Source organism: Homo sapiens, chromosome 17 (genome assembly GCF_000001405.40).
Source record: "Homo sapiens chromosome 17, GRCh38.p14 Primary Assembly".
Classification (NCBI taxonomy): Eukaryota; Metazoa; Chordata; class Mammalia; order Primates; family Hominidae; genus Homo; species Homo sapiens.
This window is the reverse complement of record NC_000017.11, coordinates 19,702,495-19,726,338: the sequence shown is the minus strand read 5'-3', so window position 1 is coordinate 19,726,338 and position 23,844 is coordinate 19,702,495. Positions and strand designations below refer to the sequence as shown.

Below are 23,844 nucleotides of genomic sequence, written 5' to 3'. Positions count from 1 at the left end.
TTACCATCTTGGCTGGGTGAGGTAGCTCACACCTATTATCCCAGCACTTTGGGAGGCCCGGGGCGGGTGGATGGATCATTTGAGGTCAGGAGTTCGAGACCAGCCTGGCCAACATGGTGAAACCCTGTCTCTATTAAAAATACCAAAATTAGCTGGGTGTGGTGGTGCACGCCTGTAATCCCAGCTACTTGGGAGGCTGAGGCAGGAGGATCGATTGAATCCAGGAGGTGGAGGTTGTAGTGAGCAGAGATCACGCCATTGCACTCCAGCCTGGGCGACAGAGACAGACTCCATCTCAAAAAAAAAAAAAAATTACCATCTTACCCGATTTAAGTGTACAGTTCAATAGTTAAATACCTTCACATTGCTGTGCAAGCAGTCTGCAGAACTCTTTTCATCTTGCAAAACTGAAACAATTTACACTTTAAACAACTCCCACCTTCTCTCCAGCCCCTGACAACCACCATTCTACTTTCTGTCTCTTGGAATTTGACGACTCTAAGTCCCTCAGGTAAGTGGAATCACACAGTGTTTGTCCCTTTGTGTCTGGCTTATTTCATTCAGCAAAATGTCCTCAAAGTTCATCCATGTTATATGTGGCATCTGTCAGAATTTCCTTCCTTTTTATGGTTGAGTAGTATTCCGTCATATGCATGTACCGCATTTTGGTGACTCACGCATCTGCTGATGGACACTAGGGCTGTTTCCACCACTGGCTGTAGCGAATAATGCTGCTGTGAACATGGGTGCACAAATATCTTTTTGAGTCCCTGCTTTCAGTTCTTTTGGGTATTTATGGAAATGGAGTTGCTGGATCATATGTAATTTTATTACAAGGAAGGAACAAACTAAAGAGAGTAAATGACTCGCCCAAGGTCAACACAACGAAAAAGTGGCAGAATCAGAATGTAATCCAAGTCTATCTGAAGTGAGCTTAAATTATGTATTTCCTTTCTCTCATTCCAGTTGGGTTAAACAAACAACCTCACGAAGGGCGTGCAGGTATGAGGAGCAGGTGGGGATGTCCTCTTTCCCCGCAGGCTAACATAGGTCTGATGGGTCAAGAAATGGCCTGCTGGGTGGTCTGGAAGCCCCCCTGGCCCTCAGGCTAGGGGTCTGCCTCCTAGCAAGGCCCACGAGGAAGGATGGTAAAGCCAGGCTTTGTTCAGTGGGGTCAGTATGAAGACAGTGAGGTTGTGGATGGGGAGATAGCTGAAGTGGAGACCTCCCGACAGGCCTCACACAGTCAGTCAGGGGTCACGGGTTAGGAGGAACAGATGCCATTCAAACCGTCTCAACTTGAAAAAAAAAAAAAAAGATTGGTCCATCCTGGGAGAGGTGTCCAACCCCCTGCGGCCCGCGCGGAGGCTGTCACGTGGCACACAGGACCACGCCTTCCAGGCCGTGGGCAGGGCCTGTCCGGGGGTCCAGTGTGGGGGCCACGCGTCCTGGGGAGACCTGTGCAGCCCCCGAGGGCAGGGTCCACGGGGAGCGGGTGGGCGCGCTCGCCGCCCCTGAGGGGCTGGCTGACCGGGCGGGGCGTTCCAGGCGGCGGATGTCCCCCGCAGGCCTCGGTATCCGCGCCACCCGCGCCGGAGGCTGCTCTGAGTTAGGACCTGCGGTTAGAGAGAGGCCAGTCGAGTGCTGCGGTGCCAACGCCTGCAGCCCGGGCTCGGGCTTCCTGTTTGCGCGCCCTGGCGGTGTCACGTGCGTGGGCGAAGCCTCGCTTTGACCTCAAAAAGCCCGGTGTTTCATGCCAGCCGGTCTCCGCCCGATGAGGACAGTGGAGTTAAGAGGGATCCCTGCGGCTGGGCACCCAAGTCCCCAGCGCCTGCTCCCTGGACCGCACCTGGGCTGGCTTCACAGACCCCGAATCCTCCCCTTGGCGAGGGCTGACCAAGTTGGGAGGGGATGGCGGGGATAAGCAGTATCAAGTCACTGAGACCTGACAGCCCTGCCAGTGCCTGGAAGGGTAACCTCAGGGACAAATAGGTGTAGAGCCAACAGTAGCCAGGCTCAGTAGCCCACCCATATCAGGCAGTCCTAGGAGAGTCAGGACATGCACCTTTTAATTTGAGAAGTAACCATTGAGCACAATGGCACTGCACCCCTCCATCTTTGCCAAGGACACTAATTGGGATCAAGTCTGGCAGCAACATGCTGAGAAGCTGGGCCCTGCCCTAGCCCCAGGGTGAATGTGTCCAGACCTGTGGCTCTCAGCGCCAGCTGCACATCAGAGAGGGAGGTTTAGAAGAATGCCTGGCAAATGATTCTCTGGTGCCCAAAGTCAAAGCAGTGGCTACCCTTGGTAAGGGACAGTGACTGGAAGGGGAAACCAGGGGGCTTGGAAGCCACCAAAGTTCTGTTTCTTGATCTGTCTGCTGGTTACTCAAGTGCATTTATTTTATGAAAATCCAAGGAGGTGTACACGTGCACAGTTTTCTGTATAAATGATATACTTCAATAAGAAGTTAAAGAAATCAGGCGGCCGGGCGCGGTGGCTCACGCCTGTAATCCCAGCACTTTGGGAGGCCGAGGCGGGTGGATCATGAGGTCAGGAGATCGAGACCATCCTGGCTAACAAGGTGAAACCCCGTCTCTACTAAAAATACAAAAAATTAGCCGGGCGCGGTGGCGGGCGCCTGTAGTCCCAGCTACTCGGGAGGCTGAGGCAGGAGAATGGCGTGAACCCGGGAAGCGGAGCTTGCAGTGAGCCGAGATTGCGCCACTGCAGTCCGCAGTCCGGCCTGGGCGACAGAGCGAGACTCCGTCTCAAAAAAAAAAAAAAAAAAAAAAGAAATCAGGCAAAAAAACCCCAGCTGTCTGGGCCAATTTCCGATCAGAATGTCTGGGGCGGGCCCTGGATAGCGGTTTTTTCTTTTTTCTTTTTTCTTTCTTTTTTTTTTTTTTTTTTGAGGAGGGGCGAAAGCTTCCTAAGTGATGATAAAGTGCAACTGGTTTAAACCCAAATTTGCCACCCAGGGTTGCTGCCAGAGCTCTCAGGCCCTCATTTGGATGAGGCAATGGAGTTTCTTTCAGCGCAATGTTCAGGCTCTGGGACTCCTGCTGGAAATTTGCCAGGGCCCAGGGCTTGGGGTGGCAGCTCCCCACAAATATGACAAGGCTGAACGGACAACCTCTCTTGCCACTATCCTGGCCGCCTTGCAGGTGAGCCTCCAGCCTCTTTTATACATTTTCCCAAAATGTAAAAATCTATCTTTGCACATGCAATTCTTCACCGTCCCAACATATATATAACCTTGGTGTGTAAAGAGCTTACAGCATCCCTCCCCCCACACCTATAAATAGCTTCATTCAGATAAAAGTCACATGCCATATGCACCTTTTTTTTTTTTTGAGACAGAGTCTCACTCTGTCGCCCAGGCTGGAGTGCAGTAGCACGATCTCGGCTCGCTGCAAGCTCTCTGCCTCCCAGGTTCATGCCATTCTCCTGCCTCAGCCTCCCGAGTAGCTGGGACTACAGGCGCCCACCACCACACCCGGCTAATTTTTTTTTTTTTTTTTTGTATTTTTAGTAGAGACGGGGTTTCACGGTGTTAGCCAGGATGGTCTGGATCTCCTGACCTCGTGATCCGCCCGCCTCGGCCTCCCAAAATGCTGGGATTACAGGTGTGAGCCACTGTGCCCGGCCGCCATATGCACCTTTTTAAAGTATACAATTCAATGGCTTTTAGTAGATTCACAGAGATGTGCAACCAGCATCACAATCAATTTTAGAACATTTTCATGACCCCCCAGAGAAACCCCATATCCGCTTAGCTGTCACCCTATGTGCCCCGCACCCCCCGCTGCCCGCTCTCTGCCAGCCTCTGGAAATCACTCGTCTACTCTCTGTCTCTATGGATTTGCCTATTCTGGACATTTCATAGAAATGGAATCACACACTTTCTGACCTTTTGTGATTGGCTGCTTTCACATAGCATCATGTTTTCAAAGTTCATCCATGTTTTTAGTGGATCAATACTGCATTTCTTTTTATGGCTGAATAATATTCCATTATTGGATATTCCACATCTTGCGATTCCTTTCATCAGTGCATGGACATTTGAGCTTGCCACAGTTTTTGGCAACTGTGAAAAGTGCTGCTGCTGCATTCTGGATCCAACATGAAATGCATGGGCAAGAGGGGGACATGTTCCCTAGAGATCTCAAGAAATGCCCCGTTGTTATTATTTTGTGTACCATTTTAAAAAATAGACTTTCTGTTTTAGAGGTTTACATTTACAGAATTGCACAGAAAGAACAGAGTTTGCAGTGACCTCGTGACCTCCACCCCCACCTCCCCACCAGTTTCCCCATTGACATCTTGCATGAGGATAGTAGTACGTTTGTTACCACTGATTAACAAGTATTGACACACTATTATGAACTAAAGTCCATAATTTACATTAGAGTTCACTAGTGGTGTTGTACATCCTATGGGTTTGCAGAAATAATGCGAGGTATCCACCATTACAGGATCCTACAGAATAGTGTCTCTGCCCTAAAACTCCTCTGTGCTCCACCTGTTCATCCCGAACCCCCACAGCAACCACTGATCTTACTGTTTCTATAGTTTTGCCTTTTGCAGAATATCATAGAGTTGGAATTGTACAGTATGCAGCCTTTTCAGACTGGCTTCTTCCAATTAGATTAGCAATATGCATTTGAGGTTGCTCCATATCTTTTTGTGGCTTGATAGCTCATTTCTTTTTATTGATGAGTAATATTTATTTTTATTTATCGTAGCTTTTCTCCAGATGGAAAGGCCCACCATCTTCCAGCACTTGGCAGTGTCTTCTGGGGGTCTTGCCGCCACTTGCTGAGGGCTTTGCCAGCTGGCTCTGTCTCTCCCCTGGCCTGCAGGATTGGGAGGGGTGATGTCAGCTCAGGGACTGAGCCCTGGTCATTTCTAGGGGTGCAGCACCTGGGCCTGGAAGGTGCCCAGGGAGACCTTGCGGGAGGAGGGAGAGAGGAAGATAGGAAGGGGTGAGGGATGGAGGGAGAGGGTACTAGGTGGAGGCAGAGAGAGAGAGGCAGCTGCCAAAATCTATGAGACAGTTGAGGAGGAGTGGAGGAGGGGCGCCTCAGGGATTTAGCAGTTGTTGGTCACTGTCTGGTGGGAGACCTGGGGGACGAGGCAGGGGGCGGACAGCTCAATCCTCCCCAACTGTCCTTTGCCCTGAATGTGGGGCTGAGCCATCAGCCAGAGTCCCCACCCTCCCAAGGGAGAAATGGGTGTTTTGCAGTCAGGAGGCAGCGGAGAGGGGTTAGAGGAAAGGACATTGGTCCACAGCCCTTGTGGTGCATGTCTCTGGGAGCCAAAGGGCAAATGCAACACCTTTGGGCCCAGTGAGGTGTAACCAAGTGAGAAAAGGTTAACAGAGGCCCTGGACCCAGACTGTACTTGGCAGGACTCCAGGAAATTAGTCACGTGAAGGCAGGGCCCAAGGACCTGGCCCTTGCCCCCAGCAGGCTCCGAGCCTGCAGGAGCTGAGCCCTCAAGTGAGGGGGACTTCCTGGCATGCCCACATGCCTCTTGGCTCTGCCTCAGCGAGGCTGCTGGGGCTGGGGGAGCAGCTCCCCCTGGGTCAAGCTTCCTCTTGCTGGCTGGGAGCCTCCCTAATCCCAGGGTGTGTGCTGGGGGCTTGCCAGGACTCTCCACTCCCTTGCCTCTCCCCGTGCCTCCTGCCATTCCTAGGATTTTGTAGCTTTGGGTCCTCCTTCCCCAAAGAGGTCCTCGATATGCGTGAGTCCTCTCATCACTGACCTCAGGGGTCTTTATCTGCTTGCCCTTGCTCGGGGCCAAGTGTGGACAGCGGGTGGCACAAGAGAGAGCAGAAGAGAGAATGGAGAGGGAGGAATAGAAAGGAGGAAGAGGAGAGTGCTGGTTAAAGGCATGGCCTCTCGGCCACTCCCACCTAGAAGTGGAGGCTGTTCCCTCTCCTGTGAAATTTGGGCGAGTCCATGATTAGCTGTGGTCAACAGGATGAGGCAGAGGGGCATGGGGACCTCCCAGGCTGGCTCTTGACCTGTATGCAGCTTCCACTTGCACCATCGAATGTCCTGTCTTCTGTTCCAGCTCCATGCTGAGATGCCCGTGGTGCACGGGGAGGTCACTCCATGCTGAGATGCCCGTGGTGCGTGGGGAGGTCACTCCATGCTGAGATGCCCGTGGTGCACGGGGAGGTCGCTCCATGCTGAGATACCCGTGGTGCATGGGGAGGTCACTCTATGCTGAGATGCCCGTGGTGCGTGGGGAGGTCACTCTATACTGAGATGCCTGTGGTGCGCGGGGAGATCGCTCCATGCTGAGATGCCCATGGTGCGTGGGGAGGTCACTCTATGCTGAGATGTCCATGGTGCGTTGGGAGGTCGCTCCATGCTGAGATGCCTGTGGTGCACGGGGAGGTCACTTTATGCTGAGATGCCCGTGGTGCATGAGGAGGTCCTATGAGGGGAGGTGGAGATGCTCCGACTGACAGTCTCAGCTGATAGCAGGCACCCACCGCGGCCTGGACATGAGCCTGGAAGACTGGCCAGCCTGGGCCAGTCCCCGGTGACTGCAGACACAGCTAGACTAGGGGAGGCAGAAGGACCACCCAACTCGCCGCACAGACTCATGACACAGATGATAATGGTTTTAAGACACCAATTTTGGGGGGGCTGGTAATAGATAAATGAGGCAGGGTGTGTAGCCATGTTTTCACTTTCATAGCATCCCATCCTCTGGGGGGCCCCCTGCCCCACTTCAGGTAGCTCACAGCTTCCCTCCTTCCCACCCTTTCCACCTCCATTCTTGTTCAGGTTGGCTCTTGCCCCAGTCTTCCAGGAATTTGCCTCTGGGACTGAAGGTGTTTGGGCTGAGTCACCTTTCCCTGAATCACCCTGAGAGTCCAGAGTCTCCCTTCTCAAGGCTGGCGGCTCAGCCCTCTTCTGTATCACCTGGCAATAATGATCTCCTCTCCCCCTTCCTCCCTTCTTCCATCTGCTGACATGATCCCAGTTCGTTTCTACTGTTTCCATCAGAGAACGTGGCTGACACGGCAACTGGCATCGGGAGAATGTCATAGGCCATGTGCCCCAGGAAATAAGGGCCTTGGAAACAAGTGATCAGCTGAGAAGGGAAAGGGTCCAGCATCGCCCGGACTTGCTTGTATATTCTAGGGGATTGGCAGCCCTGTTCCTGAGAGTGAGCTGCTGATCCGTCTGTTGTGTGCAGTATCTGAGACCACAGAAGATGCAGGACTGAAGGGTGGCATGTTGCTCCTGACAGCATTGGAAGCTCTGGAGAGAGGGCAGAGGCTGAAGTCTCGGAGGCTCCCCCCGCCCCAGCCACAGGATGGCGCACAGGGGCCATGTGCAGCTCCGCTCAAAGTATCTCAGGTTCCGGGGCAGAATCCTGGAAAACCCAACTCGGAGCTGAGTCTGCAGGTGGCTGCAGGGCGGTGCTGCTGAGTCTGCAGTTACCACCACAAAAGGAGGGCCTGAAGGCATTGCCAGGAGACTATGGAGGACTCACGGAGCTCTGACACCCCTCACCTGGAGGAGGTGGCTTCCCCCCACCCCCCACTCTGCCTGCACCACCTTTGCCTGGGGCGGCCAATGCATGGCAGTGGAGTCAGTAATCGCCCTTGCTCCTCCCCAGGGTCAAACCCACTGGGGTCTGGGGATTGAAATTCTGAGAGGAGTGTAGGAGGAGAGTGTCTTCCCGAAGAAAATGTAGGAATGCATTGGCTTCTATCACAAAAATCCTGGGAATGTTCCTGAGAAGGGATTTTGGAGATGCTCGGCCTAGGACTGGCCCTCGGGAAGATGACCCGACCTTTGTCCTGTGCAGCTGAGTGCTGAACACTGGTCAGCTCTGGATAAAGCCTGATGTCACCGAGCTGATGGCGGGGCGTCTGCACTGAACACCTTCCAGCTTGGTGGGGGCACGGGAACCAGCTGTCCTCATTAAAAGTGACCTGGAGTGAGATGGATTCTTCTGCCTATACCTCCACGTGTGGGCTCCCTGAACACCCCCATCGCCATGGGCTCCCAAGAAGTATTGCTTCTGGCTGCAGGGCTCACTGCAATGCTGCGACAGGAGGTGACAGGCCAAGGCCAGCAGGTGACTGCTCTCCCCAGAGGCCCTGTCAGCTGGAAGCAGCTGGTTTCACATAACAGAGACCCCAGGCCCAGGTCCCCTGGATGCAGGAGGATTTGCGGCTGCCCTTTTGGAAGAGGTAGGCTGACCATGAGAACTGGCCAAAGGTGAGAAGGACGTGGAGAAGGTGTTGGAGGAGGGAAGTCAGACATACTAGCAATAGCCTGGCCTGCAGGGCTGTAGCTTTCACCTGTACTTCCTCCTGTTTGGTGTCATCATCACAATCACGATGGTGATAAAATGTCTTCTTTCCTCTAGGCAGGTGGTAAAGGTACTATTTGGTGCACAGGTTGGAGAGTGCTGTGATAAGAACCATCAGAACAAGGGCAGGAATGTGACCTCCCAGGTGATCCTGGGAGGATCCAGTGGAGCGTTTCAGAATTCTGTGTCAAAAAAGAAGGCTGCGTGTTGACTGGGGTGGGGCTGTGCCTGTGTTTGGGGCCGCCCATGGGTGTAGCAAACCCTTTTTTTTTTTTTGTATTTGTCCTGCCTCCTCTCCTTCAGGGTCTGCTCCTTCCTCCTCGCGGCTCTGGGGGCTGCATCTCGGAATCCTGCCGGCCACTCCTCCGCTGCAGGGGTGGACATGGGAACCAAGTGGGGCCTTTGGGATGTCTTCAGCCCTCCCACAGCCACTGGCCAGCCTGCCTGCTGTCTTCCTGCCCCCCTCGCTCACTCCTCCTTCTCCTGGGCTGAACCACACCCAAAAGCTTGATCCAGGACTGGGCTAGGTGACCGGTGCAATCCTTAGATGCCTCTCTTGGTTCCCACTGCCCTGCTGGTCTTGAGGCAGGTTGAGGGGGGAGTCACAGGCCATCCCTGCAAGGAAAAGCAGAGAGGGCAATTTGGGAAGGTGACAGAGGACCCTGTGGGACGTCGAGTCACAGCCTTGCTGGGCACAGTGACTGGCGTGCATAGTGAGCTGCTTTCCCAAGCACTGCCACCCCTGGCTCTCAGATATGCTGCTGAAAGGGGTGACGGGCAGTGGGGGGCTTGGGACTCCGCCGAGGTGTCCTAGCTCCCATCCCTATCCCCAGGCCCAGGCCCAGGCCCCTCCAGCATGAAAGGCTAGGGACCGCACTGCCATGGGGTTTGCCAGGCCCCTGTCTCTTGGGAAGCCACCCCTCCCAGGGAAAAGCAGGGCTGAGGGCTGTTCAGGCTCTGCCACCACCTGCTCTGTGACTTCGGGCAGGCCACCAATTCTTCTGAAAAACGGGAGTCACTGTGGGCACCATCACGCCCGGGTACAGGACGCCCAGTGGCTCAGCTGCCCCAGCCAGGCTGCCCTGTCCTGGCCTCAGCACACCTCCCACAGCCACTGCAGGCAGCCCTGGACCTTCTCCTGCTGAGGCCTTACTGCCAATCCCTCTGGGAGACCAGACACAACAGGCAGCGGTCTGGGTGACTCCCAGGAACCTGTCCTCCCTAGTGGCTGAGGCAGTAGGCTTGGCAGCAGGGACTCAGTGCCCTAGGAGGCAGGGCTCATCCCACAAGTTGCCATGGTAGCCCCTCCTCCTGCCCCTTACTCATCAGCCAGGCTGTACCGACACGGGCTGCCCAGGCAGGGGGTGGCTCGCTGGACAAAGCTGGCCGTGCAGGCGCTCAGGCGTGCAGGGTAGCCAGTGCCCCGGCCAGGAATGGACAGCCTCCAGGACACAGTGGCCCTGGACCATGGGGGCTGCTGCCCTGCCCTCAGCAGGCTGGTTCCCAGAGGCTTTGGGACTGAGATGTGGACTCTCTTTGCCCTTTCTGGACCCCTGGTAAGGAGGAGGAGCTGGGGGGCAGGTAGGGAGTGGAGGAAGCTGAGAGGCTGAGGGTGTCTGCCTTGCAGGCAGGATCCAGAAATGTGCTCACATTTTCCCCAGAAACTGCCCATGTTGACTGCCAGGTCCAGAGTCTGGGGACAGCAGGATGGCTCCTGAAAGCTGTCTCTGGACAATCCCCAGTGGCAGTGGGGCCTGACTTTGCTCAGCAGCAGGCAGCCCCCACACAGAAGGGGTGGGTGTGCCTCAGCTGGAAACCCACAAAAGCCTGAGTTGGAAGATGGCTCCAGGACAAATGGGACCCAGAGATGCATGAAGCCTGCAGCACCTTCGCAGGGGGAAGAAGGGGCCGGCTACCCATTTCATTTCCAAAGGGGAAATTGTTTTAAATACATTTATTTTTTCTGATCATGAAGAGGAATAGGCTGGGCGTGCTGCCTCACGCCTGTTATCTCAGCACTTTGGGAGGCCGAGCAGGGAGGATCACCTGAGGTCAGGAGTTGGAGACCAGCCCGGCCAACATGGAGAACCCCCCGACTCTACTAAAAATACAAAAATTAACCAGGCATGGTGGCGGGCGCCTGTAATTCCAGCTACTTGGGAGAGAGAGGCAGAGAATCGCTTGAACCCGGGACGGGTAGGTTGCAGTGAGCCGAGATCGCGCCACTGCACTCCAGCCTGGGCAACAAGGGCGAAACTCCGTCTCAAAAAAAAAAAAAAAAACAAAAAAAACAAAACCAAAAAGGAGTAATGGAATTGCACTTCCTGTAAAACTTTTAGAAAAAAATGAAAGATATAAAGAAGAAAGAAATTTAACTCAAATCCTAGTACTTGGAAATAGCCATTACTAAGATTTTGGTGTATTTAATTCCCCTCCTTTTTTGGGGGTGTGCGGCCTGACCAAATTATTGTTATAATAGGAACTGCAATAGCAGTATCAGACACTTGGGTCAAGCTCAGGGCGCCAGGCACTGCGCTGCGCCAGGCACTGACCCTTCTGGGTAGGGACGTGGAGGCCAGGCGTGACTGCAGCTGCAGAACGCAGAATGGGAGCTGGGCTAGGTCATCCGACCTCCAGCCCTGGCTTCCCCAGGCGTAGGTGACCTCTCGGGGCACTGGTGCGGGGCCCTCAAAGCTGGAGAGGCCTGTCTTGCAGGGCTCGGCTGTGTGGGCACCTGTGGCCCCGAGTCTGACCTGGCCGCTGTCCTCCAGTTCCTGTTCCAGGTGCTGACTTTTATGATCTACATCGTGAGCACTGTGTTCTGCGGGCACCTGGGCAAGGTGGAGCTGGCATCGGTGACCCTCGCGGTGGCCGTGAGTACCCAGCTTGGCCCAGAGCAGGGACGTTCTCTCCCCAGGCTTCTCCACCGGGTTCCCGGGTGGGCCCGTCTTGGGTGGCTGGTCAGGGATGGGAAGACACAGCCCACGTGGCTGGACAGCTGCCTTCACAGGTGGAACCTGAGGGCCGGAGATGGAGGCGGTCTGGCCCTGGGGCACACAGCACATGAGGCTGCTGAGCAGAGCCTCTGCCACCGCTGCCTGCTGGGCAGCATTTCCTGACCCTGGCTCAGCCCAGATGCAGGGGCCTCTCTTCAGGCCTCACCTGACAAGCTCTTGTTTCCTCCTGTGTGTGGCGCCAGTTTGTCAATGTCTGCGGAGTTTCTGTAGGAGTTGGTTTGTCTTCGGCATGTGACACCTTGATGTCTCAGGTGGGTGGCCTCCTGGAGCTGGGCAGGAAGCCAGGCAAGGGCAGAGCCAATTCCACAGGTGCCATGGAGATGGCAGGTGGGAGGGGCGCAGCCAGGTGATCTGGGAGCAATGGGCCCTGGGGTCAGCTGCCCCTGCCCTACCTCCAAGGACCACAGGCTGTCAGGGAAACAGACCCTCCCCTTTGAAAGAGTCTGGGCCAGGAGAAAGGGGTGGAGATGGTGGAGACAGTTCTCTGATCTCTTGCCCCCAGAGGAGGTCACCAAGTAGAGAAAGACAACCGGTTCCCCAGCCTCAATCCTAAGTTCGGCTGCCTACATGCAGGCATGTGTCGAAGGCCAAGGGGACACAGAAGGAACCTCCCTGCTTGCAGGGGCCTGCAGTCCAGCAGGGGCTGCCCAGGTGGCCATGGGGTCACAAAGCGGCAAGGCCTCACCTCTCCCTGGGGGTTTTAGCTTCACGGTGGACCTGGGCTTTGTCCTGGCTCCACTTAACCTGCCGCTGACATGTGATGAAGCCCCATGTGCCTTCGTCCTCCTTGGAGCTTTGGAAGAACAGTGGAGACAGTGGTAGGCCCAGGCTCAGGAAGGCCGCTGTGCCATTACAGGCTGCGGGCGCCAGGCTGTGGTCACCAGAGGCCGCCGGGTCCGCCACACACCGCTGGCGCCGCTGACAGCCCGCTCCCCGCGCGGGATTTAGGAATGTCCCGGGCAGTGGAAACGGCTGACGCGGGGCGGGCTGTTTTGCAGAGCTTCGGCAGCCCCAACAAGAAGCACGTGGGCGTGATCCTGCAGCGGGGCGCGCTGGTCCTGCTCCTCTGCTGCCTCCCTTGCTGGGCGCTCTTCCTCAACACCCAGCACATCCTGCTGCTCTTCCGGCAGGACCCGGACGTGTCCAGGTGCGCTGGGCTCCGGCTGGGGAGGTGGGGCTTGCTGGGAAACCCGGGCCGCCGAGGGAAACCCTGAAGATGCCCAGCCCTCACACCCCATGCTTCTCTAGGCCACGAGTGCTCACAGTGCACGGTGCCTGTGGGTACCTTCCAGGCTTTGGTTTGGGGATTCTCCCCATGGCTGCGGCTCCAGCAGTGACCAGCAGGGACAGAGGCGGACAAACGCCCAGTTTTAATTTAGAAGGCAAGGCAAGAAACAATTTGGGATTTGCATTTTATTTGCATTTGTGTGCCCGGACACAGTTGGAGCTTTACAGATGCTTTCGAAGAAATGAAGTGTGTGCATTTTCCCATATTCCGAAAAGGAGAAAGATGACAACCACTTTTTGATGAATTATAGATGATGATGATGATGATGATTATTATTATTATTATTATTATTACTTGAGACAGAGTCTCGCTCTGTCGCCCAGGCTGGAGTGCAGTGGTGCAATCTTGGCTCACTGCAACCTCTGCCTCCCAGGTTCAAGTGATTCTCCTGCTTCAGCCTCCTGAGTAGCTGGGACTACAGGCACGTGCCACCACACCAGGCTAATTTTTGTATTTTTAGTAGAAACGGGGTTTCACCATGTTAGCCAGGATGGTCTTGATCTCCTGACCTCGTGATCCACCTGCCTCAGCCTCCCAAAGTGCTGGGATTACAGGCATGAGCCATCGCACCCGGCCTATAGTTTATTATTAAATTTATTTTATAATAAATCCCTCTCATAGGGATGCCTTGTTCATTTATATTATGTACATTTCATTTGGTTATTCCTTTTTAAGATATAACCTTTTTTTCTTACGAACCACGTTACTCTGAATTTAAGTTCCCTCATCCTGAGGCCTGGGTGTTTGGGTGTTTCGGCTGCCCCTCCTGGCACCTGCTTACCATCTGGAAGCAGCAGCCCCTGATGCTGAGGTTTCACAGTCCTGGCTGAGACCCTGGGACAGCGGCCGAGCACCCAGTCCTGGAGGACACAGGGGAGAGGGCCCTGCCTCCCCGGGCCACAGCCTGGTCAGCTCCGGAGCTTCTCCCTCTCTTGCAGGTTGACCCAGGACTATGTAATGATTTTCATTCCAGGACTTCCGGTAGGTGCCCCTGTTTGCTGAGCGTGGAATCACATTCCCCTAAATTCTGGCTTTTTGCTTTCCCACTCTATCTGCTGCGGAAGATCCCTATCCTGCTGTGACTTCCTGCTGGGCCATGAGGGTGACTGACAAAAGTTCCCGTTGCAGTTGGTGCAAATTGAATTTAAAAAAAATAGTATAACATGTTTTTCTGATTTGAAAATGTTTATTGGAGAAAATACGAAAAGCATGAGGCAGAGAAAATTCAAATCACCTATAATTCTACCACCCAGAGAGAACATATGTTACTATCTCTCTCCAGGATTTGATTTTTTTTGAGATGGAGTCTTGCTCTGTCACCCAGGCTGGAGTGCAGTGGCACAATCTTGGCTCACTGCAACCTCCGCCTCCTGGGTTCAAGCCATTCTCCTGCCTCAGCCTCTGGAGTAGCTGGGATTACAGGCATGCACCACCACGCCTGGCTAATTTTTGTATTTTTTAGTAGAGATGGAGTTTCACCATGTTGGCCAGGCTAGTCTTGAACTCCTGACCTCAAGTGATCTGCCACCTCGGCCTCCCAAAGTGCTGAGATTACAGATGTGAGCCACCGTGCCCGGCCCTCCAGGATTATTTCTATTCACGGGTGTGTGTATTCAAACACACACATAAACACAAATTGGAATGGGATCAGTATGTGTATATTGGGTTATAATACGCTTTTTCCCTTTAAAATATGTCATTAGTCTCTTTATAGGACTAAATAACCTTCCACAATATTAATTCCAAAGGTTATCTGGTACCCATAGTTAGGCCATAACTTATTAACCAATCTCTATTTATAATACGAACTATTATAAATAAGATTTGTGGTAAATATTCTTAAAAAAAAATCTTTGTGAATCATCTTACAGATGGTTTTCAAGGAAACTATCAATTACAGAAATGCATTACTGGAAGTGGACGGCTCAGTGAATGGCTCTTGAGACATATTGCCAAACTACCAATTTCTACTCCCACCAGCAAAAACTTCCACTAGCATAGACTATTATTATTAAAAGATTTCTTCCAATTAGAAATAGTATTAACATGCATTTCTTTTTTCTTTTCTTTTTTTTTTTTTTTTTTTTTTTTTTTTGAGACGGAGTTTTGCTCTGTCATCCAGGCTGGAGTGCAGTGGTACGATCTCCGCTCACTGCAACCTCTGCCTCCCAGATTCAAGCAATTCTGCCTCAGCCTCCCGAGTAGCTGGGATTACAGGCACCCACCATCATGCCCAGCTAATTTTTGTATTTTTAGTAGTGACAGGGTTTCACCATATTGGTCAGGCTGGTCTCGAACTCCTGACCTCAGGTGATCCACTCGCTTCCACCTCCCAAAGTGCTGGGATTACAGGCGTGAGCCACCACGCCTGGCCTGCATTTCTTTTACTGATAATGAAGTTGAACATTTTCTCATGTACTTATTATGTGAATAGCTCTTCGCTTATTTTAGTGGGTTAATCTTTTTCTAAGTATTGTACTTCTTATTAAATAATATCTTAATCCTTTGTCTCAAATATTTTCCAATTTGTCGTTTGCCTTTTATTCTGCTTATGTTTCTGACTTAAAGAATTTTGAGCTGGGCGCAGTGGCTCACGCCTGTAATCCCAGCACTTTGGGAGGCTGAGGCAGGCAGATCACCTGAGGTTGGGAGTTTGAGACCAGCCTGACTAATATGGAGAAACCCTTTCTCTACTAAAAATACAAAATTAGCCGGGTGTGGTGGCGCATGCCTGAAATCCCAGTTACTCGGAGGCTGAGGCAGGAGGATTGCTTGAACCCAGGACGCTGAGGTTGCAGTGAGCTGAGATCCCACCATTGCACTCCAGCCTCACAAGAGTGAAACTCCATCTCAAAAAAAAAAAAAAAGATTTGTGAATGTGTATGTAAGTCCTATTCCTTATGTCTTTAACGAGCTTAAAAGACTTAACCCAGCCGGGCACGGTGGCTCACACCTGTAATCCTAGCACTTTGGGAGGCTGAGGCGGGCAGATCACCTGAGGTCAGGAGTTCGAGACCAGCCCGGCCAACATGGTGAAACCCCGTCTCTACTAAAAATACAAAAATTAGCTGGGCATGATGGCGGGTGCCTGCAATCTCAGCTACTCGGGAGGCTGAGTCAGGAGAATTGCTTGAACCCGGGAGGTGGAGGTTGCAGTGAGCCGAGATTGTGTCACTGCACTTCAGCCTGGGCAACACGAGCGAAACTCTGTCTAAAAAAAAAAGACTTAACCCACTGCAAGATTATATACACATTTGCTTATACTTTTTTGGACCCTTCCAGGGTTTCTATTTTTACATTTAAGATATTAATCCAACTAAAATTTTTTTGAACACCATTTATTACATATTCTCTCCTTTCTGCATTAATTTGTTAATTAATCAACAGTACATCTATCTAGGTCAGTGATTGTATGTCCAGTGACCCGGGGATCTGTATGTCTCTTCTGCAGCCCAGTGCTTCACTGTTTGACTTGCAGCTTAGTGATGCCTGTTACGACTGGCAGTTCTGTGTGCTAGACAGCCCTACCAGGCTCAGCTCACTTTCTGACAGTGTAGCCTCCATGGCACCAGGGGGAATGTTTGGGGCAAGGGAGCTGGGCAGGGAAGAGGTCAGGGTGAAGGTGGGGTGTCCCAACAGTGTGCAGTCCCAGCAGACCCAGCCACACCCACCTCTCTGCCAGGCCAGTGCCATGACCTTTTTGGGGCCTAGCTGGTTACAGATTTTTTTCTGGTTTACGGAAACCCCCTTATAGGGCTGCTCTTCTCCTCTGAGTCTTCCACATAATCCATACTTTGGCTTTTCAGACCGAGGTGATGGCATCTTGTCAACCAGGATTTTTGGGGCTGGGTCGGGGGGAAATGCCCTGTAAAGATGTCACTGTGGTGTCTTCTTTGTCAAGCCAAAGTCCTTCCATAAAATGCAGCTGCAAAAGTTAATTGCCAATAATAGTGACTAATAACACTAACATAGTTATGTTAGTGGCTAACACTTGGAATGCTTAAATGTCCCATATATCATTTGGTAAGCACTTTGCAATATTAACTTTGCAATATTTATGTATGTAAAATATTAAGTGTATATTAAGTACACACACACACACTATTATTATCCCCATTACAGATGAGGAGACAAACTCAGGGAGATTAAGTAACTTGCCCAAGATCACACATCTCAGAAGAGGCAGAGCCAGGAATTAAACCCGGTCTATTCCAGCTCTGTACTCTTAATCAGTACACTATGCTGAAAATAAGTGAAGAGCTACAGGAAGGAATGGGACAAGGGCCCTGGGCTAGGTTTCAGTTGATGCCTATTCTATTCCCCTTAAGAGAGGAGAGAAAGGGTAGGTACAGTGCCCCCCAACACACACACTGCCACGTACACTCCCCTATGGTCCTCCCCAGCCAGGGAAGGGCCCGCCACCCCCGTAGGGTCTTGAACCTGCTTAGCATAGGCTGCCCACGGCCAGCATGTCTCAGTACCTGCCATTCCCTCGTCCGAAGTCACACCTTCAAATCCTGTCTCTAAGGCCAGAACCAAAGTGGGCCCTTCTGTGAACAGGTCCTTGGGTCACTTCTCACCTTCCTAAGCTGATGGAAGCCTGGCTTAGCAGCCGGAAGGCCTACCAGGCACTGTGCACTATGAGCATGTGTGCAAAGAGTACTCTCTCTGAGCCAAAGCATGCCTGCTCATCTCCCCTGTGGCAGAAGGGAGCCCTGAGGGGGCCTCTTCCATAGGCTGGGCCCGAGCATGAGTCCAGGTGGCTGGGTAGGCTTTGGCCGCACCTGAGAGGTCCCAGACATACTTTGATGAAGTAATTTCCCCAATCTGGGGTACTATGTCCTGGAAAGGAATGTCTGTTAATGCTCATTTGGTGAGTTTTGGTCATTATTGTTGATTTGTTTGGGTTTGCTTTTCATACAGGTGATTTTTCTTTACAATCTGCTGGCAAAATATTTGCAAAATCAGGTACAGGTCTTTGGTGTGTGGGGAGGCCCTTCTCCCAGCACACTGCCCTATTCCAGTGGGAGGGGGGCCTGGGGCTTTCCCCTTCTCTCCACCATCTGTGAACCAGCTCTTGAAAGGGGTCACTTCCAACCCACCTGCCATATCCTGACCTCCCGCACAGAGGCAGGTGAGAGGCTGTGCGTCCCAGCCTCTTCCAACTCCTCAACAGGGATGGCTGAAGGGGCAGGAGGAGGAGTCCCCATTCCAAACCCCGGGTTTGTCCATCCTCCATCCATCTCACTCACACCTTAGCAGGGCCAGTTTTCATTTATTTCAGAAGATCACCTGGCCCCAAGTCCTCAGTGGTGTGGTGGGCAACTGTGTCAACGGTGTGGCCAACTATGCCCTGGTTTCTGTGCTGAACCTGGGGGTCAGGTGAGCCCGGGGGCTGGTGGGGCCTGGTCAGGGGACACTGCCCACTGAGCTCTCCACCCCTGGTGGAGACAGATCAGTCACCATCCTGGCCCTGCCTGTGCCGTCCTGAAGTGGAGGGTTATGGGGAGTTGGAGGGGCCTGATGGTCCCTTGGGGACCTCAGTTTGACGCTTGATTGGGTGAGAGGACAGCCACTCCCCGCTCCTGCCCAAGCCCACCAGGAGAGGTGAAGTGGGCACTGGCAAGGTGGCCCCCAGGACACTGTAGTCACGGCTGCCTTGGTAGAGCCACCATGGCCAGAGGTGCCTGTGGGCCCTGGTTGAGTCTGATCCCAGGATGGGGGAAGAGCAGAGCCATGCCTGCCCCACACGGGCTGGCCGCCAGAGCCACCTCTCTCTCAGGCAGGGCGGTGGCAGAGAGTTGGCATCAGTCGCAGCCCTGTTCTCCCTCCTTACCCAGGGGCTCCGCCTATGCCAACATCATCTCCCAGTTTGCACAGACCGTCTTCCTCCTTCTCTACATTGTGCTGAAGAAGCTGCACCTGGAGACGTGGGCAGGTGGGAGGCCTGGCCTGCTCTGGGAGGCTGAGCAGGCCAGCGGTGGTGCTGCCCTAGCCTTGGGGCAGGGTGGTCAGCAGGCAGAGGGTGCAGTAGAGCCTGTTGGAGGAGGTGCAGGACCCTGCACGGCCCCCTCCTTCCCCTTTGCTTCCCCAGCCCCAAGGGCCCAGAGTCCCTCCACCCAAGGTGTCACGATGCAGAGCCCTGCTGGGTCCATCACAGAAGCCTGGCCCAGGGAGCTTTCTTGCCCAGCCTCTGCTCTCAGGATGGCGGTGAGAGCAGTGACACCCGTGGAATACCAGGCGTCAGCAGTGCGTGGGGTGCCTGACATTCCTGAATTCATTTAAACCTCACCCCACCTCATTAGCCCCATTTTACAAAGAGGAGATTATGACAGACGGAGGTTAAGTAATTTGCTGAAACAGCAGGCGTGTAGGGGCCTGCCTGTCCTTTTCTGCCTCTTGAGAGCCAATCCCATACAAGGACCTTCTCCTGCCAGGCATTTCAGGAACAGCTCTGCAGGCCCCTGGGGCCTCATGTGGGGCAGGGCCCTGGCTGAGCCCCTTCCAAGCTTGCCCAGTGCACCTGTGGTGTGTTTCCCTTCAGCATCCTTGATCTCATGCCGCCTCTGAAAACTCCCCAGGGAGGCAGGGCAGCTATAAGGCCTGGGGTTTTCAGATGGAAATGGAGCCTGCAGAGTGGTGGGTGGTGGAGTGGGGACCAACACCCATGCCCTGAGCCCTGGGGCCACACCGTGGACTGGCCAGGTGAGCCTGGTGCCCTGTTCCTGCATCCTCCTCCTCCGTAGGCCCCAACACCAGCTCTAGACCAGCTGCATTCCCTCTGCAAAATGCCCAGTGCCTGAGCCTGCTAAGCCCCAGAGCAGGAAGAGCCAAAGGGGTTTAGGGGCCTCCTGGCAGTGGGGAGCAGGAATGAGGTGGGCAAGCAGGGCAGGCTGTCAGCTCATGGGGCCTCTGTTTCCAGGTTGGTCCAGCCAGTGCCTGCAGGACTGGGGCCCCTTCTTCTCCCTGGCTGTCCCCAGCATGCTCATGATCTGTGTTGAGTGGTGGGCCTATGAGATCGGGAGCTTCCTCATGGGTACGTGGAAGAGGATGGGGGGCGCAATGGCGTGTGGGCGGCTCACCCAGCCCAGAAGCCCCCTCCCCAGGATGGCGGCTCACCCATCCCAGAAGCCCCCTCCCCAGGATGGCAGCTCACCAGCCCCCTTCCAGCTTCACTGGCCAGGCCCTCAGGCTTGGACCCAGAGAACACCACTGCCCAGCGGGGCTGATCCGTCTGTTGCTGGTCTGCCTCCCCAGTAGGCTGTGAGCATCCAGGAGGCAGACTTGGGCCTTTTGTGCCTGAATCCCAGCATGGGCCAGGCAGAGCAGGTGCCCGTGGGAGGTGGCTGAGGCACGGAGGAGTGAGAGATTCAGTTGGTTTGCGGGTGTGAGCAGAGGTCCAGGCTTGCCAGTGTGAGGCTCCCACCTGCTGCCTTGTGTGTGCTCATTAGAGCACTCGGTGAAGTGAGGACTCCAGGCAGCCTGAATGTGAGAACCCCTGCCCTGCCCCGCATTTGCAGATGAGAAAACGGGGCCCCAAGAACACAGGAACTCCACAAATAGAAAATCAGTGGGAGGGCCAAGAACCGAACTCGAGTTGCCGGACCCTGGTCCTGTTCTCTGTCCCCTCCCTCACACTGCCACCCTGAGTTCATCTGGAAAGACAGACCACACAGGGAAGCCTGCAGGGGCCTCCGGGGCACTGGGCAGAATTTTCCTAACAGGCTGAAGGCCAGGCAGGAATGTCTTTTTGTTGTCATTGTTACCAATCTGCCCTTCAAAATCAGCCGGGCTCAGTGGCTCATGCCTGTAATCCCTGCACTTTGAAAGGCCGAGGTGGGTGGATCACTTGAGGCCAGGAGTTCGAGACCAGCCTGGCCAACATGGCGAAACTCTGTTTCTACAAAAAAATACAAAAATTAGCTGGGTGTGGTGGCACCACCTGTAGTCCCAGCTACTTGGGGGCCTGAGGTGGGAGGATCACCTAAGCCAGGAGGTGGAGGCTGCAGTGAGCTATAATTGCGCCACTGCACTCCAGCTCAAGCGACAGAGTGAGACCCTGTCTCAAGGAAGAAAAAAAAAAAAAGCCCCTGAGTCCCCAAAGCAAAGCAGCGTCCTGTCGGCGCAGGGTCTGGGTGTCTGGGGCTGCGGGCCGGACTCACGGCGGGCCTCTTCTCTAGGGCTGCTCAGTGTGGTGGATCTCTCTGCCCAGGCTGTCATCTACGAGGTGGCCACTGTGACCTACATGGTAAGGCTCCTGCAGGGGTGCCTTCCCCACATCCCCCACCTGATGGCTGGAGGTGTCATAGGAGGGGGGCAGGCTGTCACCTGAAGCTATCTCTGTCTCCCGAAGGACCCTCCCCGGGCCTCTCGTGCCCACCAGGTCCAGACCCTGCTCAGCTTACGCCAGGACTCACACACAGGTGCCCACAACCTGACGACCAAGGGTGATATTTCACTCACAGATGTTGGAATTTTAAAAATTAATTAGTATCATTTTAAAATTGGGAGATTTCACATCACAATCTTATTTTTGGATTTTCTTTAAAAATGCACATTCCAGGCTGGGCGCAGTGGCTCACGTGTGTAATCCCAGTACTTTGGGAGGCTGAGGGCGGATCACAAAGCCAGGAGTTCAAGACCAACCTGGGCAATATGGTGAAACCCCATCTCTACTAAAAATATAAAAAGTTAGCCAGGTATGGTGGCACAAGCCTGTAGTCCCAGCCACTTGGGAGGCTGAGGCAGAAGAATCACTTGAACCCGGGAGGCGGAGGTTGCAGTGAGCCGAGATCGTGCCACTGCACTCAAGCCTAGGCAACAGAGTAAGACTCTGTCTCAAAAAAAAAAAAAAAAAAAAAGCACATTCCATCGAGCAGCAGGCCACATTCCTGCACACTGCAGTCGGCCAGAGCTGGGTGACAGCGTCCCCAGCAGGGCCATGGGCTCTCCTCCACCACAGCCCCCACCTCCCCTCTACTCCCCACAGAGACACAGCCATCGTCTTGCTTATGCAGCCCATGTCACTCGGGTACGCATCTGCATGTTATCCCTGACCCCAGCTTTAAGCAAAGGAGTCACAAAAATCTACATTACAAAATCAATTTAGAGATTCTTATTTTTACAAGTGGTTTCTGCTGAAATATCTTTTTTCTTACAGGGAGCTTTTCTGGGACTAAGACCACAGTCACCTCTTTAAAATCTGTTTACTCATTTGATTTGGACAACACAGTGATTTCGGTTGCAAGGCCCGCCTGCCTGTGCTGCTTCTGATGGCGCAGGTGGTGGTGGGACTGGCTGTGTCACTGGGGGTACCCCCACCCTTCTCCCAGCCCCAGCCCTCCCTGCCTCATTGTCAGCAGCAAGAATGTGACGTGCCTCTTACACTGCATGCCTGAGATCTGCTCTGCCTTCCCGCTCACGTCCCTCTTGGCCCAGGCTGGCTCAGGACTTCAGGGGTTGGAGGGTGGGCCCACTGACAGTGCTTTCTTATCTTTGATCCCAGATTCCCTTGGGGCTCAGCATCGGGGTCTGTGTCCGAGTGGGGATGGCTCTGGGGGCTGCGGATACTGTGCAGGCCAAGCGCTCGGCCGTCTCGGGCGTGCTCAGCATAGGTAGGTGGAGTCCTCTCCTGGTGGGCCTTCAAACGTTGGCCTGAGTCACCAGCCTGGGCCACAGGAAGGCTGGCATGCTGGAGGCAGGGCTGGCCTCGGGAGCTGCCAGGTTTATCTTCCAAGCCTGCTGGACCTGCCATCTGACCCAGGTCAGCCTCTGCTGATAAGCTGACAGCTGCCCCTCCCTGAGCAGCAGGCGTCCCTCCCACCACTTTCTCCCCATCCCCACTCACTCCTTCCCTGCTGCTGTGATTCTGGGACTCTTCTGGAGACAGCTGGCTTCTACCACTTACCTTAGAGCAAACCCTGACTCTTTGACGGCCCTTCCTGCCCAGCACTCTCCTTCCAGCTGTCCAGAGTCCTTCTGCAGGCCTGGCCCTCCCAGCACCCCCATGAGCTTGGCAGCTGCCAACCCACTCTGGAGAAGGAGCCACTCATGTCCTCTGACATCATGGCTGTGCTTTCTGAGACTGGAAGGCTCAGACCGGCTTCCCTGTAGAAAGCAGTGGTTCTTAGGCTGTAGCCTGCGCTGGAATCCCCTTGGAGGGCTGGTCACAGATTGCTGGGCCTCACCAGCAGGCTTTGGTTCAGCAGGTCGGAGGCAGGGTCTGAGAATCTGTTTCTAACAAGTTCCCACGTGATGCTAATGCTGCTGCGCCAGCGTGCCGCCCACTCTGAGAACCACTGGAGTGGAAGCATTTTCCACACTGCCCTTCCTACAAGACTGTCTAGCCCAAATGAACGCCTCAGATGCGGGGGACATGAAGGCCTGTGACAAAAGGCACCTGGTTGCAGAGGGCTGGGCTGACTTGCACTGACATAGGGGCCAGCCCTTTGCTGATCTGAGCAAGGGTGCTTCCTGGCTTGGGGTCTGTCATTGCTGCACCTTTTGTCTCTTCCAGTTGGCATTTCCCTGGTCCTGGGCACCCTGATAAGCATCCTGAAAAATCAGCTGGGGCATATTTTTACCAATGATGAGTAGGTAATCAGTTTTCTGTGCTGACTCTTGGAAAATGTCAAAGTGGTTCCCAGTGTGTCCTCAGATTTATCACATTCCTGGCTCAGTGCTGGGCCCAAAGGAAGCAGGAAGAGCCCAGGCTTGGCTCTCACTGAGAGGAAGCCAACTTCTGTCTATCCACCCCAGGCCTTTAGTGCCTGTCCATAGACAAGAGGCTAATTGAAGGGCAGTCCAAAATTGTGGGGGCTCTTCTGAAGTTTTAGGTGTGACCCACAGACACAGAAAACTCTGGGCTAGCAGTGCCAGTTACATTTGTGTGGGGCAACTACCTCTATTCCAAAGCTTTTTCTTGTGGGGGTGGGGTGTGGAATAGAAGGGATATAAATGGGTCTCAAAGGATACATCTGTGTCTTAATGCTTTCTCATTTCTTCTGCAGAGATGTCATTGCCCTGGTGAGCCAGGTCTTGCCGGTTTATAGTGTCTTTCACGTGTTTGAGGCCATCTGTGTAAGTACCACTTTGATCCAAAGCCTGACTCCCTGGGACATGATTTATGTACTTGTGCCCTCCCCAGGACCTCGCAGGGCTGTGAGGATGAACTTGTTAATACACATGAA

At 53.8% G+C, this 23,844-nt stretch overlaps 1 protein-coding gene and 1 long non-coding RNA gene across 16 annotated transcripts in view, besides 4 other annotated features; one reads left to right on the top strand and one right to left on the bottom strand.

Moving 5' to 3' along the window:
- On the bottom strand, positions 3,911–11,993 carry LOC124903948 (uncharacterized). Its single transcript, XR_007065659.1, has 2 exons — positions 11,104–11,993; positions 3,911–8,965 (listed from the first exon to the last, which is right to left on the bottom strand). It is a non-coding gene; the product is annotated as an uncharacterized LOC124903948 (long non-coding RNA).
- Positions 7,360–23,844, top strand: part of SLC47A2 (solute carrier family 47 member 2) — a 40,663-nt gene continuing 24,178 nt past the window's right edge. For 2 of the 15 annotated variants that reach the window (XM_017024221.2, XM_017024223.2), the window contains exons 1-14: positions 9,755–9,906; positions 11,122–11,223; positions 11,550–11,618; positions 12,366–12,514; positions 13,594–13,636; positions 17,579–17,623; positions 17,832–18,037; positions 18,496–18,593; positions 19,578–19,691; positions 20,836–20,903; positions 21,645–21,686; positions 22,161–22,269; positions 23,172–23,247; positions 23,665–23,734. In XM_017024221.2, the coding sequence (XP_016879710.1) occupies positions 9,784–9,906; positions 11,122–11,223; positions 11,550–11,618; positions 12,366–12,514; positions 13,594–13,636; positions 17,579–17,623; positions 17,832–18,037; positions 18,496–18,593; positions 19,578–19,691; positions 20,836–20,903; positions 21,645–21,686; positions 22,161–22,269; positions 23,172–23,247; positions 23,665–23,734 (1,314 nt within the window). In that variant the 5' untranslated portion in view covers positions 9,755–9,783. The other 13 variants (XR_001752432.2, XR_001752433.2, NM_001099646.3 and 10 more) reach the window with 10 other exon arrangements.
- Positions 8,580–9,427: an enhancer, noted in NCBI's record as "H3K4me1 hESC enhancer chr17:19620225-19621072 (GRCh37/hg19 assembly coordinates)". NCBI's record gives its function as "activates a minimal SCP1, AML or CMV promoter by ChIP-STARR-seq in naive H9 embryonic stem cells {active_cell/tissue: H9 hESC(naive)}" and the evidence as "EXISTENCE:reporter gene assay evidence [ECO:0000049][PMID:30033119]".
- Positions 9,428–10,277: an enhancer, noted in NCBI's record as "H3K4me1 hESC enhancer chr17:19619375-19620224 (GRCh37/hg19 assembly coordinates)". NCBI's record gives its function as "activates a minimal SCP1, AML or CMV promoter by ChIP-STARR-seq in naive H9 embryonic stem cells {active_cell/tissue: H9 hESC(naive)}" and the evidence as "EXISTENCE:reporter gene assay evidence [ECO:0000049][PMID:30033119]".
- Positions 18,702–19,339: an enhancer, noted in NCBI's record as "H3K27ac-H3K4me1 hESC enhancer chr17:19610313-19610950 (GRCh37/hg19 assembly coordinates)". NCBI's record gives its function as "activates a minimal SCP1, AML or CMV promoter by ChIP-STARR-seq in primed H9 embryonic stem cells {active_cell/tissue: H9 hESC(primed)}" and the evidence as "EXISTENCE:reporter gene assay evidence [ECO:0000049][PMID:30033119]".
- Positions 19,340–19,977: an enhancer, noted in NCBI's record as "H3K27ac-H3K4me1 hESC enhancer chr17:19609675-19610312 (GRCh37/hg19 assembly coordinates)". NCBI's record gives its function as "activates a minimal SCP1, AML or CMV promoter by ChIP-STARR-seq in naive H9 embryonic stem cells {active_cell/tissue: H9 hESC(naive)}" and the evidence as "EXISTENCE:reporter gene assay evidence [ECO:0000049][PMID:30033119]".